General features: G+C 38.8%; 1 protein-coding gene across 9 annotated transcripts in view; it reads right to left on the minus strand.

Moving 5' to 3' along the window:
• Positions 1 to 16,259, minus strand: part of TNIK (TRAF2 and NCK interacting kinase) — a 401,995-nt gene that overhangs the window by 294,056 nt on the left and 91,680 nt on the right. The window lies entirely within an intron of this gene.

Below are 16,259 nucleotides of genomic sequence, written 5' to 3' on the forward strand. Positions count from 1 at the left end.
GATTTTCCAAAATGGCGAATGTTTGACATAAATGTGTTTAATACTCTGCAAAGCCTCTCCAACTCAGTGTATTTGGGATGCAAGGGTTGGTATCACTATGTAAATAAGGAACTACTTTACAGTACAGTTTAATGAACCAAGTACATGCAGGAACCCTATTTAAGTGAAAGTATTAATTCCTTGGAGGAAATGCTTTAATACTGAAGAATGACTTGTGATTAGCATATCAACAAGAATAAACAGTCTTAAGATACCCAAGGGTACTTAAGGACAGAAGCTTTCAACAAACTTCTTAAACTCCTGTTTATACTCTTAAATTGCTTGGTAAACGCCTCCTTCTAAGGTACTTTAAAAGGTCAAGTTTTGCCCAAGTCTCCTCTCTGAAAACTAATGAGGCTTTAATGTATTCAGAAATGCAAAAGTAACATCAAAGTTATTTGATTGACCCAAGCCAAAGAACCTTCTAGAATAGCAACATATTTTGGCTGGGTTTCTACCTTAAAGTCACCTCTCCTCCTAAATAGGATAATTTAAAAAACATTTATTTCAACATATTGGCAGAATTACTAGGTCATTTGTGAGCAGAATAATTCTTTTCTACCTTTTTAGAATGGTCAGATATGAGAAACAAAGCATGTAAACAACACTAAAGGTGGCTGCTCTACTTTACAAGGATCCTAAGAACTAGAAATAGTAGTCTTCAGTTAAACCAGAAAATTTTAAATTAAAGGTTAGATGACTGAACTCTTGCACTGAGCAGTCGACCCCACCATGCTTTCATTATGCCAATGAATTATATCTGTTTCAATCACTGGTGTCAAAAGGTTGTGGGTTCAACTCCAGGTTGTGCCACTTACTGTCAGTGTGACCTAGGGTAAGTTAAATTTTGCAAGGTTTAGACTTTTCATCTGTAAAGCAGGGATACTAAGCAGTAAGTGCTTACTTTATGATGTTGCGGAAGCCTGCTACCGAGCCTTTCCTATAATGGGCATAGTTACTCTATACATATACTATACATACGGGATTACATACTATTGCTACTTTTACTGTGCACAGAACAAGGTCGGTCCTTGAGCTTTTAAAGAGACACATTAACAAGTAAAGACAAGAACTGCCAACCAAAGCACATACTAAATCTATGAAACACCTGACTACAAGAGATGACTCAGGATTAAAAAAAATAAAGAGATGGCTCTTAAACTATCAAGAGTTCTGAACTCATCTTAACCTCTGAGGTTCAAGTCTAGGAAGACAGCAATATTCTTCTGCAATGTGACCTTCCACATGGGTGTTTTGCCTACAAATCAAAGTTTTTATTTTGGATGCCCAGCCTTCATCCAAGCTGAGTTAAAAAGTTAACTTATTTTTTCTTCTCTTAGTAATAGTAGGCAGTAATGATTGTGGTCCTGGTACTTCTTCAGAGTTAATATCTATGATTTCTTAAAATGTTTATTCTGGAGAATTTTTTGTAGATATCCTCTACCCTCCAAATGCCCCCAAAAGGTGTATGTTAGTATAAAGTGCCATTATTCTAGCAAAATCAGCCCTTAAGACCACATTCATGTCTTAGGGTGACACTGCGCTACCAAGAAAAAAAAATTTTCTTGAACTGATAACAATTTAGAAACTCACTCCCAGTAAAGCATAGAACTCAGCACAAACACCAAATTCATTATATATATGTAATATATATGTAGATTTACACACCTTTGTATAGCTATCCTTGTTTTAAAAAACTAATTTTCAGCATTAGGCACTTTCACTGCTTCTGCTCTAACCCAAATTGCTGATTGTAAAAAGGGGATTTTCTCCCCTGTATTTACTTTGGAAACAGACACCAGCCACGGAGAAGTAGTTGAGTGCAACTGCCCACAGACTCACACTGAAATTAGAGCACCTGAGCTGGTCCACTACCTGAGCCGTGTTCCTCAAGGAAATTTCAAAAGAAAACCTCCAGGACCTCGGAGGGCCAAAAGGGCAGCTTGTAGCAGGACTCGGCTGACACAAGACTAAAGCCTAGGAGTTCTCTGTGTCCTTACCCTTGGGCTTCCTGAGAAACAAGATCCTGAGTCAGACACTGAAATCTTATGATTATGAGCAAATGGGCCTCATAATCCCAATTAATCTCCAGAGTTGATTGTTAGAAATGCAAAGATACTCCCTAGAGACTGTTGCACAGACTAAGGAGTTTCTTCAACACTGAGAATGTAGATTAAGACTGCTGAGGGAGAAATAATTTAAGTAGTGATTGGGCTGTGAAAGAAAACATTGTCAATACCTATCTTACTTTTAGCTATTCACAAATATATAGATTTCAGAGAGAGGTAACACCATGATGCATAGTACTTAGGCCAAATTTCAAAGAGCACATCTGACCATAGTATTACTCATCAACTTAATCAGGTAGCCATAAATCTCCTATGCTTCTAGACTAGAAAACAATACTCAAAGAGCGTTCTGTTTTCAATGTTGCTATTCTGTTTTGGGTTCTGTTAGCAGACTTTTTTTTGTTTTTGTCTTTTCTGTCTTGTATTTTCCCCCATCCCCTGTGAACACTGGATTCTTGGTCACATCTTAATTTATGACTATTTACTCAGCTGATTAACCGTAGGCATTCGTCTTATTCAAGCAAATCTTGTTCTGAGCAACAGATAAACTGGAACCCCAAGGACAGAGCAGCCATGGCTCCGTATTAATCATCTGCTCATCCCATTTCCCCATCCTACAGCAGACCATGAAAGCTGGGGTTGCCTCAGAGGGCTTGGCTTCAGGCACCTCCTCCCTGAAGCACTCTCAGAGGGGCATATTCATATGGAGCAGGAGGGAGGCTTTGGTGATTGGCTTCTGTGATAGGTTTCTTGAGGGAATGGAAAGGTTTTGAAGTTCTGAAGTATTTGAAGTGTCTCTTCATAAGTTCACAAGTGGGTACAAAATGGTAGAACAAAATGTACTAAACATTTAGGCCACAAAACATTCATTTTCTCCAGCTGAAATCACCAGAAGTGTTAGCTGGGGAGAAATCAGAATCTGCCTAATTTGCAACTCTTTTGAAGAGAATATAAAATCAGCTTTGCCTCCACCCAAAGAAGAGGACACACTGTCCTGTTTTCACTAACTTTCACTATTTTGACAAAGAGAAAGAATGAGATAACTCTGGCTAAAACTTGTCATGAAAGTATCTGATAGAGGCATCTCTAGCATTCCTGGGTTACTGATGTTATATAACTAAAACCTGTAAGGAAAAAAGTGAATAATGTGATCCTTAATGGAAACGGAAATAGAGAGTCACAGGTATTCCTAACTTGCAGTCATGCAAATTATCCAAGAGATTACATCTCGGTATTGTAGCCAGGTCATCCTCCTCTACAATACCCAGAAATTCTTTCTTTCCATCCTCTATTTCATTGTCTCTCCCCACCCTCAACCCCAAACACACAAACCTAGGCATCCCTGTAAAGGAGGAAATATAAAAGCAAAGAGTAAGCAACTTGCTACAATGCCACACCAGGTAACAGGTAACTGGCCTTCCCCCTGCTTGGAATAGAGGAAAAGTACAAATTATACACCTGGCAAATATTTGCGTGGTCTCCAGAGCAGTAAGATTCATCCATTTGCTCACAAAATCACACAACTGAAGCTGAGCGAATAAATCAATTCAATTCATTTCAACAAACATTTATCAAGCTCCAGTCTGAATATAGAGTTTTTCTGGGGGGAAAAAAAAATCATAATGCACCTGGCTATTGGAGCTGATTTTTTAAGAAGTCTAGAAATTTCTTCCTCCTTTCTGAGAAACGAGGCAACCAACTCCCTTAAATAATCAACACAGATGTATTTTATATTGTAAAATGTAAGTAGCCCAAGGTATGCCGCTTCCTTTTTTGTAGGTGGAAAAGAATCCACTTCTTATCTTTCTGGGAAAACACAATTGTGTTTGTTGTACAAAAACACAGTGTCCCCATTTACTAAGAAATCAATGAGTAATCACCAAGCCATGAATCACCTTTTAGTATTTTTGCTATAAAGATGAGAAGCACTATATATTGAAACAGGCTATGGCATCGCTGCTCTATAGTATAAATTCAGACTTATCAAGAATCTACTTAAAATATTCTAAACATGCAATGGAAGGGCAGGGCAAAACCAATCTTTGCCAAACATTTAAGGAGATGTTATACACAAATTTCCTCCTGGGAAACTTCTGAGTGGAGGTAAGATAATTTAGGCGACTCGATCAGGAGTCATGCTCTACTACTTACCTGGGGGCTTCAAGGGAAGACATTTATAAACTCTCAGACCTAAATTTCTCTCCTTTAAGACAAGGTTAATCATACCTCTTCTATCTAACTTATGGGGTTACTGTGAAGGTCAAATGAAATAATGAATATGAAGGTTTCAAAACCATTGTTTTATGTTTTATGATTGATATCAGTGATGTCAACGTTTAACTCTACAGTCCCAAAGACATGGTAGAAGATGGAAAACAACCTCCAAAAACCCATCTCTGATATCAAAAGTGTGCAATGGGCTATTTAAAAGTTCAGATGAGCTGTGGTTCTTTGTGCTTAGCCACAAAAACAGCCTTAGAATCATAAAGCCAGTTTTAAAAAGAAGGGAAAACAATTTTTTTCTTTGTCCTATTCTCTTCTGTCATATTAGATGGTAGGCGGACACTGTTTTTACTTATCAGGTATCAAACTGCTGTTGGCTACTAAATATTATATTTTGTGTCAGTCTCCTTAATTTATATACTCAAACAGTTGAGATGAAGCAAACCTAAACATATCTCACTGAGTTAGGGCATTCCAAACTCAGCAGAATTTTTTTTTTTTTTTGAGATGGAGTCTCCCTTTGTGGCCCAGGCTGGAGTGTGCAGTGGCATGATCTCAGCTCATTGCAACCTCCATCTCCCAGGTTCAAGTGATTCTTCTGCCTCAGCCTCCCGAGTAGCTGGGATTACAGGCCCAGACCACCACACTCAGCTAGTTTTTGTATTTTTAGCAGAGACGGGGTTTTGCCATTTTGGCCAGGCTGGTCTCAAACTCCTGACCTCAGGTGATCCATCTGCCTCAGCCTCTGTACTTTTTTTTTTTTTTTTTTGGTACATATTTATAACTACCTACTCTGTATTGGTACTAGAGAAACAGTAAGGTAATGTCCCTGACTCAGTTTGGAATAGGAGACAGCCAGACAGAGGATTACAAACAGGTCAGAGTACGGAGAGAAGAGGCAGGGAAAACCATCAAACCCCATTGGGCAGGTGCTGCCTGAACCAAGTGTTAAGGATATAGTATGGTTGCTAGCCAACAGGGGGTGAGGAAGGGCACAGCACGGATAAACAGACACCGTGTGCAGTGTGCACGAATGCCCCGCAATGTGCTACCATAGATGGACACAGTGGGAATCAGGATGGGCCGTAGATGAGGCTGGAGGGGGAGGCAGAGGTCATGTCATAGGAACCTGTGACTGGGGATGTAGAACTGTGCTCCCTGGAGCTCCAAGTGTGGGGCTACTCTGTGGAGGGAGGTAGAGGTGCATCGGGGAGTGTTGTGTCGGCAAAGGGACGGCTCCATGAGGTAGATCCTAACTATCCTCCCAGAACATCCTGCTATTGTGTCAAATACTGGAGTTTCCTGTGGGGGAAAAATGTTTTGCTGCTTTAAAAAATAGTTGATACATTTAAGGTAAAGAGAAATCTCATTTGTAAAATTGTAATAAAAATAACCACAGCCCAGACATTTTAATATAGAAAATGTATTAGTCTGTTTTTGCACTGCTAATAAAGACATACCTGAGACTGAGTAATTTATAAAGGAAAGAGGTTTAATTGACTCACAGTTCCACATGGCCGGGGAAGCCTCACAGTCATGGCCGGAAGTGAATGAGGAGCGAAGTCACATCTTACATGGTGCAGACAAGAATGCTTGTGTAGGGCAACTCCCCTTTATAAAACCATCAGGTCTCTTGAGAGTTATTCACTACACGAGAACAGTATGAGGGAAACTGCCCCCAGGATTCAATCATCTACACCTGGCCCCACCCTTGACCGGGGATTATTACAATTCAAGGTGAGATTTGGGTAGGGAGACAGCCAAACCATATCAGAAAACATACACAATATTCTTTTAGGATTCATACAAAATGCTTGCGTATTTTTTGTGGACTTCTACCTGAGAAGGATCGTTTTATTTAGATATAAACAGGGTAGAAAAATCAAGGGCTTCAGCTGGTTTCAGCTTCCTAGAACAAGATGCAGCCCTGCAGTTGTGGGGCGGTCAGTCACCTGCAGATAATAAAGTGGGCTGTTGGTGAGGTACCTTGGAGGAACGCCAACGTAAGGACAGACAGACATGCAGACCCATTTCAAGCTTGTTGCAGATCCAGTGTTGCAGGACATGACCCAGGAAACCACCACCTCTATAATTAAGTTTTAAGTTTACTAACAGTATTTTTTTAAACAGAGATCAGGGCATGGGGTGGAGTGAGGGATAGTAGGGTATGGGGAGTTAATATTTAACTGGTTCAGGGTTTCAGTTGAGGATGATGAAAAAGTTCTGGAGATGGGTAGTGGTGAAGGTTGCACAACAATGTGAATGTACTTAATGCTGCTGAATTGTATGCTCACTTAAAATGGCTAAGGGGGTAATTACTGTATGTACGTTCTACGATAAGAGAAAGAGGTACCACTAAAAAGATTTCCAGTAAGATAAATTCAGCTAGGAGCCTCATACCACCTCCCTGAATGTGATGCACAGATCAAAACTGAATTTCTCAAGCCATACTCGAAGTATCAACTCGAAGATGTTAAACAGTAACGGGCAAGTTTTCTAAAACAAGAAGTCACCTTCTCCTTAAAGGAGACTGAGTTCTTCACATATGGAGTTCCTAACTCTTCCCTGCTGTCCACAAAGATGATATGGTTATTATTATCATGATTGTTGTAACAGACATTTTGTAATTTATCTAGAAAAATTGTGTAACCAGCTGCTACACTTGTCTGCCTTTGTTGTAGAGAGGAACAAAATGGACACAGTAGTTCTGTGCTTCTCCTTGCAAAGTGAGCAACAGGACCAAGATCCGAAGCAATATCAGAGGCCACTGCACCCAGCAGCAGAGGTTGTAATGACCCCATTCTAGACCCTCACCACCAACAACGCTCCTATGTAGTAGTAAGCATATATTTGCTTGCCGAACAGCAGATATTTCTTTTTGCATATGCAAAATATCCAAGCAGATTTAATGAAATTATACTTAAGGTTAAACTACAGAGATAAGAAATACAATCTCAATACCACAGTTAATTGGTTATTCTTTTTATTAAAGAGTCTCAAATGTTTCCCATGTACAAAATAGTTAAAAACCGTGAAGAGCCCTAAATTCTGTGCCTGTAATCCTGGCGGGGTTTCATTTTACAGGTTACAAATAACCCAGAATAGTAACTATTGATGGTTTAATTACTTGAAAGTGCCTTATAATCACGAAGTCATTAAGGGTGTTATGAGATCTAAAAACTACAAGTCATGAGGGGGTTGTGCATCAAGTTATTTGGCAACTCATTGATACAATATGAGGTGGAATGAAAGTATTTTGGACTAAAGCATTCTAAATACTTCAAATCAAAATTGAGCACACGAGTGCCAATCCATGTCCATCCCTAACAGAAAATCTCATCCTCTTTTCATCACTATTAGAAATTTTGTATCATCATTCACTGAGGCAGTGAGAACCTGCTAAAACCTTGCGGCTCTGAATTAATGAGAGAATGGTATAAAATGTGCATGTGTCTACATCCTTCAACACATCAACTACACCAAGCAATGCCACCAGGCCACATGGGTACCTTAATAATGTTAGGCATTCCGTATAAATCATTTTGCTAATGGTTTAGAGTATTGCTGTAACAGTTTTGCAGTTGGAAAAGCACAGGCTGTAAGTGGATTCATGGAAGCAACTTGTGGAGGTTATCCAGACTAGTGCTCTACTTAGAATTAAAGGATGTCATATCTAGAAGGAACTCTGGAGACCCTCTAGCCAGACCTCTTCGTTATACATGAAACCAAGGCCCAGAAAAGCTAAATGACTTGCTTAAGCTCACACAGCTAATGAGTCTCAAGGCCAAGACTCAAGGCCAGAAGAGCCATCTGTCCATGTCTGTCTTAAAGGCTTCCCAGCCCTACTTCACCTCAGGTTATTGACCCTGGCCCAGGCCATCAAAAGCAGTCAAGCCTTTGGTAACACTACCTCTCCCTAGAGTACCTACTTAATTCCCCTTCCACATACATCTATTCATCTTTTAAGACTCCACTCAAGAGTCACCTTTATATGAAGGCTTTCCTGGTCTTCCCACAGCCCCCACAGATTTGGCTCTGCTCTGTATACTCTTGCTGTGGTGCATGGAATACAACATTGAAGTGATCTATTTTCATGTCTCTCCACCCAGAGACTTCAAACCCTTGGAGGGCAAGGACCATGCCACATGTTTATCTATAAACCATGCCCTGATGGCAATGCCAGGCAGTTGTTAGATACTTATGAAGGCTGACACTGAATAAATAAACAAAGGTAAACAAAACCCCAAGATAGAGCTAAAAGGGGTAGACTCATCTCCAAAGACAAAGATACCCAAAAGAGCACTTACACTACAGACAGCCTCAGCCCAGCAGCTCTCTATCCTGGCTGTGCATTGCAAGCATCTGGGAAGGTCTGGAATAAAACCTTCCCCAGCCCAACATCAGACAAACCAAAATCAAATTTTTAAAGAAAGGCCCAATTATCTATAGTTTTGCAAAATTATCCAGATGATTTCTATAAAAAGTGAAGGCTGCGAACCACTAGTAGCAATAAGAAATCCCACACAGTCCCTGTATCAAGTTTTGGTAGCAACTCTACAGGTTCAACTACCTAGTAGAGCAATCGACCCACCCATATGGCATCTAGCACACAGGCACCCACGAAGGTCTTCCCTCCATGTTCACATGACAACCATCTAATTCATTATACTCAACAGATCATAGCACAAGGTGGCATGGTCTTCAGACAAATTAGATGCAAACAACTTGGGGATCTATGAGGATGAAAAATTCATCAAGCCAACATATTTCAAAGGTGAATGATTCTCCTACTTATTGGAGAATGGAAGTAAAATTGTTACCTTTAATTCTAGCAAAACTACACTTTAAGAACAGATAATAAAGCCTGAGGATGAAGAAGAGAAATAACAACATAGGAATAAACTTCCCCAGACCCCAAGATAACAGGAATCTGCCACCTCCTATTGTAATAAATGACAATAGCAGTAATCAAACCTTACATGTACATAGGAATTTATATTTAACAAAATACTTTCATAGTCATTAATTGATTTCAACCTCACGATAGCTTCATGGGTTATATCATGAAAACTGTTTCTTTATATTCTAATTTTACAGATGAGAACAACTGAAGTTCCAAATAGATCTATGGCAAGCTCAAAGCTAAGGCAAGTTAAGGGTAGAACCAAAACCATACAACGGGTCCTCAATATCTAAATGAGGTTCTTGCTGCTCCACACCCCTTCACTAATCTCACAATAAAGACTCTCTCCTGAGACCTTATGCTACCTGAAGAAGAAATACTGTTGCTTCTCCTCCAAAACTTGTGAAATATAAAATTATTCAGAAACCATTTTCACCCCACCAAAGTTCCACAGTGCTGCAACTGATTCCTGTTTCCTCTATTAACCTATCTTCTCTTTACACATTATTGAGACATTGGCTTTTTTAAGCACTAAAGACCAAATATAATATCCAAGTGGCAATTATATCACCAAATACAATGTAAGAATTGTATTAGGTTGGCACAAAAGTTACTGCTGTTTTTGCCATTAAAAGTAATACTGGTATTAGGTTGGTGCAAAAGTATTGTCGTTTTTGCCATTACTTTTAATGGCAAAAACCACAATTATTTTTGCACCATCCTAATATTTAATACAAATAATGCCATTCTAAGCATACATAAAAACCAATAAATCAAATGTAGAATGTGGAGCACAAAGACATGTGTTTCTAACTTCATTCCTCTATGAATGTTTCTTTTAGGTCATAAAATGTTCTATGAAAGCAAGACCATGGGAAGAACTGGCACATGTGTTTGGGAAGAGGAAAAGGTTATTGAGTGCCTACTATGTGTCAGGCACTGAGCTGAATGCTTCCACATATTAATGTTTTATACTTGAGTTTTCATTAACAGCTCTAATCTGTACTATTAATAAAAGATAAAGAAATCCAGGCTCACAGGGTAAGTTGATTATCTTCACATGACTGGAACAGAGCAAAACCAGACTAGGAATCCAGCTCAGGCAGTCCTGCTCCAAAGTCCTTTTCATTATACTCTTTCCACTTATAAAAATGCTCAATTACACTCCCAGATACAGTGGAAATGCCAAAGCCTCTAAGCTTTTTCCAAACCCACATCTTGTGCCCATTCAGGTCCCCACTCTGCCTGGACAGCATTAATTCCTAAATAGTCTACACTCTCACCATCCCCACTTGCACCTCAATGTTAAGAGTTTTGCCATTCTGTGTGATTTTTAGAGCAGTGGTTTTACCCCCACAGAAGACACAGGAAAAACTGGAGACATTTTCAGCTGTCACAACTTAGGGGTGCTGCTGCTTTGTAGTTGGATGAGGCCAGGGAGGCTGCTATATATCTTGCAATGCACAGTACAGCCCCCACAACAAAGAATTATCCAGCCCCATATCTCAGGAGTGCTGAGGCTGAGAAACCCTGCCTTACAGTGATAATGTGATTTAATAAATGTTCTTCCTCCCCAGTAAAATGAGACCATAACCACCATGAGGAATAACTGAGACAATATACATAAAAACCTCTGGTGCACAGTGAACACTCAGTCCTAATTAGATAATCTGATTACGCACTTCTTAAGAGTAGGAACCTCCTCAGTTAGCTCTGCATTATTCCCATACAAAGCACAGGGCTTTTTTCATGGGCACTCAACAAATGTGAAAGAATGTATTCTTTATGTTAGAAATTCTTGATTAAAAAACAAACGCCACTATTATCTATAAAACACACCATTCTCCCATACTCACTCCTTGCCAAACAATAAGTGAATAGTATAATACATGATTCATTGCAGCAGGCTATGAAAAGCTACAGTGCATCCAGGATAATGTTATAGAATCACCTCCATAAATAAACTATTAATAAACTTGCTATTGAAATGTTTTATCTTATTTTAACAGAAGGTTAATGAAGAGATCGTGATATACAGATTTGAGAAAATCTCCACCCAACAGGCCAAGATTTTGCTATATAAGGTCAGTTTTGACAATATTGATTCTCAGGTCTTGAGTTAAATTATTCAGCTTTAAACTGTAATCATAAGCATATCAAATAAAAACACTGAAAGTCAAATCTTTGAATAAGCCAAAACAGGCGGGTATCACATCTCAGGGCAAGATCTTTGATTTTTGCTTTTCTCAGTTTATGTAAGTTTGAGTCAGCATGGAAATCCTAAAATAAATGATTACAAAAAGTATAGGATTAGCATTCACTCAAGTGACCTATAACAGGATAACATACAATCATTTTTGCAGTTTCTGGAGGTGCGGTCCCAGGACCTTGAACAACAGAATGAGCATTTATACTTATTAAATGTTCAAAGAGGATACCCCAGACCCACTGAATCAAAATTTCAGAAGTTGGAGCCGGGAAATCTACATTTTAAATCCTTTCCCAAATATTCATTTTACATACTAAAGTTTGAGGACCTCTGCCAGGAGACCAGACCCCAGAAAATTGCTTTGCCTCATTTTGTAAATTTCTAGCATAGTCTTGCTTCTGCAGACTACTGGTAATTCATTAAACATAAGATCCACATCCCCATCCCATTATAAAAAAAAAAAAATAGGTAGAGGATTTTGTTTATTGCTTTTGTGCAAATATATTTTTCTAAAGTACAAAGATTAACATTTTATGAAAATGCTAAAAAAAATTTAAAACTGGGAACAAATATAGAAAGAATTATCAAGGAAAACATAGCTCAATTCTGGGCCCCAGAAGTGTCAACATTTACTGTGTGCCAGACTAGGGATAGTGATGGCCTAGACAGACTAGGTCTCTGACTTAATTTTCCCTTGACTTATGTATTTAAATTGCTAAATACAGACATAAACAAGGAAGTAAGATAATTCAGAGAGTGGCAATACCATAAAAACAATAAAGCAGGTTAATGTAATAAAGAAAGTCTATGGCAGAGGGAAGCAGAGGCAGTGGCTAGCTGTAATAGACACAGGGATGAAAAGTGGCTTCCTTGAGAAGGTAACATTTGAGCTGAGACCTGAAGGAGAAGGAGCCAGCCATGAGAGGGCTGGGGGAAAGTGTTCTAAGTAGAGGGAACTATGACTTTAAAGACCCTGAAGTGAGAACAAGGTGCTCATTCTAATATAGAAATTAAATAATATATTCAAAAGGTTTTATGGAATATAAAACTATTTACAAGCATAAAACACGACTTTTAGTGACAGAATAGTTCGTGGGGATAATGAAGGGCCTCAGCTCTATGCCATAAGAATGAATCAAGCAACTGAGGCTACATTGCCTGGACAACAGGAGATGTAAGTATATGTTTGGAGGAAGAACGGAGAAATTTTCTTCAAATATCAAAAGGACTACACAAAAGGACTACATTCTTTTTTTTTTTTTTTTTTTTTTTTTTTTTTTTTTTTTTGAGACAGAGTTTCGCTCTACTTGCCCAAGCTGGAGTGCAATGGTGCGATCTCAGCTCACCAGAACCTCTGCCTCCCTCGTTCAAGTGATTTTCCTGCGTCAGCCTTCTGAGTAGCTGGGATTACAGGCATGTGCCACCACGCCCAGCTAATTTTGTATTTTTAGTAGAGACAGGGTTTCTCCACGTTGGTCAGGCTGGTCTTGAACCCCTGACCTCAGGTGATCTGCCCACCTCAGCCTCCCAAAGTGCTGGGATTACAGGCGTGAGCCACCGCGCCCGGCCCAAAAGTTCTACATTCTTGTGAAAGAATATTTAATTTTAAATTTTAAATAGCTCTAGAGGTATGAAATGGGGTTGAAATGGTAAACATTTTAAGAAGGCAGGATCTCAGCACAATGTGATAACATTCAAAGGAACTGCAGGAAAATGGACTGACAGAAAAGTAATGAGTTCCACATGACTGGAGGTCATGAAGGATGGGCTGAACAGCCAGCTGGCAGAGAACTCAGAATGAGGACTATGAAGACTCTTATAGCATGCTGGAAATATACACACTCACAGCATCTGTCTCTCTTAAGCACAATAGCCACCACGACGGCCTCCCTACTTTGCACTTTACAACCTTAAGAAGTATTGAAAAGAAATATGAGAAATACTGAGGAATCCTTCATATTCCTAATTCACATTATCACCCTGGGATAAAATATGTCTTCATTTCCGTAATAACCAATCTATATTCAAAAGGGCAAATTAGGAGACAGGAAAAACCAACATTTATTTAAAACCTGTGGCTAATTTGTAGTGGTATCTTACCAGTAAACATTAAACAATTATTTCAATTTATTAAAAGAATTACTCTATTTTAACAAAAATGTGTCCAGATTCCATTAGGTTCCCAATAGATGGCATGCCAATAAACAGCCAAGACCTTTAGTAAATGGGTATGTGGCCTTTTGTTGGTTTATTTTTTAATGCAGCCATGAACAGAAGGAGATGGTTTCCTCATTAAAAGTCCTGAGAGTGAATCACTATTCTTTATTATTTACCTATGCTCCTCGGTAAATAAAGCAAAAAACAGACATTGAATCACTACTTGATTAGATGGGACTAAAATGCTAAAGATAAACAAATCTAACCTTGCCCAAAACAGGAATAAGCTAAAATTGGGAGTAAGACTAGAAGCAACTTTGAAAAACTAAACATTATTAAATGGCTTTTATATAAAATATTTATATTTCTATATCTAGATGTACCTGACTCACATGCAGATATATTTCAAGGTGTTCTCTGAATACCTACATATACTTTTTATTTATTATATTAAGTATGTTTCTTTAAAACTACCTGTAAACAAAATTATATTATGACTCTCTTAGGGCAGCTTATAAAAAAGAAACTTATAATAAATTTTTCCATAAAATAAGGGCTATGTCCATATACTTATTCATAAAATTATACCTGACTTTATGAAAACCAGGAATGCCAAAAGAGAGACTTTAAAAATTAAAATCAAAGGCTTAGCATTTGATATGGTTTGGCTGTGTCCCCAACCAAATTTCGTCTTGAATTGTAGTTCCCGTAATCCCCATGTGTCATGGGAGAGACCAGGTGGAGATAATTGAATCATGGAGGCGGTTTCACCCATCCTGTTCTCATGATAGTGAGTTAGTTCTCATGAGATCTGATGGTTTTATAAGAGGCTTCCCCCTTTACTGGGCACTGATTCTCTCTCCTGCCACCCTGTGAAGAGGTGGCTTCTGCCATGATCGTAAATTTCCTGAGGCCTCCTCAGCCAGGCAGAACTGTGAGTCAGTTAAACCTCTTTCCTTTATAAATTGCCCAGTCTCAAGTATTTCTTCATAGCAGCGGGAGAACAGACTAATACAGTATTTAACAGAAAGAAAATACTTATCATATGATTTTATGTATAAGGACCTCCTCCTAGAGCTATAACATTTCTATTTATACCTACAGTATTTTAGAAACATACATATTCCATAAAAGTTGCATAATCTATAGTGCAATCACTTTTTAATGTAATTTACTTAGGCTCACATATCTTTTAGCTCGTATTTTGCTATTTTATTAAACTTTAATCTTTTAGAACTCAGAATGACAGCAGGACTGGATTAGTGGCCTCAGGAAACACAGGGTCTGCTCATGAGCAGTGCCACCTAACATCGTCTGGTTGCCTAGAAACCAAACCCTTAAATAGGTAGGTAGGGAGTTATAATTCTTTAAGTAAATCAACACAAGGCCCCATAGCATTTTTTTGGGGGGGGGGGGAGGGGACAGAGTCCCACTCTCTCGCCCAGACTGGAGTGCAGTGGCAAGATATCGGCTCACCACAACCTCTGCCTCCCAGGCTTAAGAGATTCTCCTGCCTCAGCCTCTCGAGTAGCTGAGATTACAGGTGCATGCCACTACCACCTGGCTAATTTTTGTATTTTTAGTAGAGACAGGGTTGCATCATGTTGGCCTGGTTGGTCTTGAAATCTGAGCTCAAATGATCCATCTGCCTTGGCCTCCCAAAGTGCTGGGATTACAGGCGTGAGCCACCGCACCTGGCCAGGCCCCAAAGCATCTCTAACTACATTCTCATTTGACTAATACACAGAAAAGCTGTGGTGGCTACAAAACAATGGGGCTGGTAAAAGAGAGCAAATCTCCTGTCCCAAAGTTCACTGCATTCACCATGACCATTCTTTGCAGAATCTCCCTTAAACTTGGAAGGTGCCATAGTACTGTATCAACCACCAAGAGAATGGAATCCTTTAGAATAATAATGTTGACAACCTAGCTGCTAAATATCTTCCCTCTCTAAAAAGATCTGAGACCTCTTGCCATTTGTTTCCTTGCCTTTTTCAAATAACAAGAAATTATGGATAATTCTGGATTTTCCAAATATTCTCATCCTTAATTGAATCTCTTGGTATCTCCTCTTATAAGACTGCAGAGTTTCACCTCTTGAATTAGTGTACCAAGCTGTGAAATGTCTCCCAAATGTATATTCTATGGGTGGGAAACATAATGAAACGGAAAGGCTCTAAGAAATGGCACCATAAAACCAACAGCATGCTACAGAGTTGCTCCTTCATATTGACAGCAAATCAGAAGTAATTTTGTACCTAAGTCAGAGCTTAATTCATTAGTTACTTCACAAGTTCAATCCAGTTTCTCAAAATGCAGTAACACAATCTTCCAACCTAATTATCTTCATTGAAAGTATTTAAAAGCCTTTGCTGAGACACATTTCTTTCTGTGTCAGACAGGATCAACGTCAAGTGAGCAGGTTGGGTAGACTACATTCTGTCTAATGGTAAAAGGTGTACAATTTAGGAAATAATCGTTTCTTGCAAGGGAGAATTTTCCCCTGGACACCAAAGGAAACCTCTCGTAAATAAACATATAAATGTGTATCCACTTAGAATCTCGAGAATACCCTATAAATAATACTTTTGACATTCTGCAGAATTGAAAATATTACAACCTGAATGATTTCTATAATAAATTTAATTAACTGAGAGAA

This window comes from Homo sapiens, chromosome 3, assembly GCF_000001405.40.
Source record: "Homo sapiens chromosome 3, GRCh38.p14 Primary Assembly".
In the NCBI taxonomy this organism is placed as follows: Eukaryota; Metazoa; Chordata; class Mammalia; order Primates; family Hominidae; genus Homo; species Homo sapiens.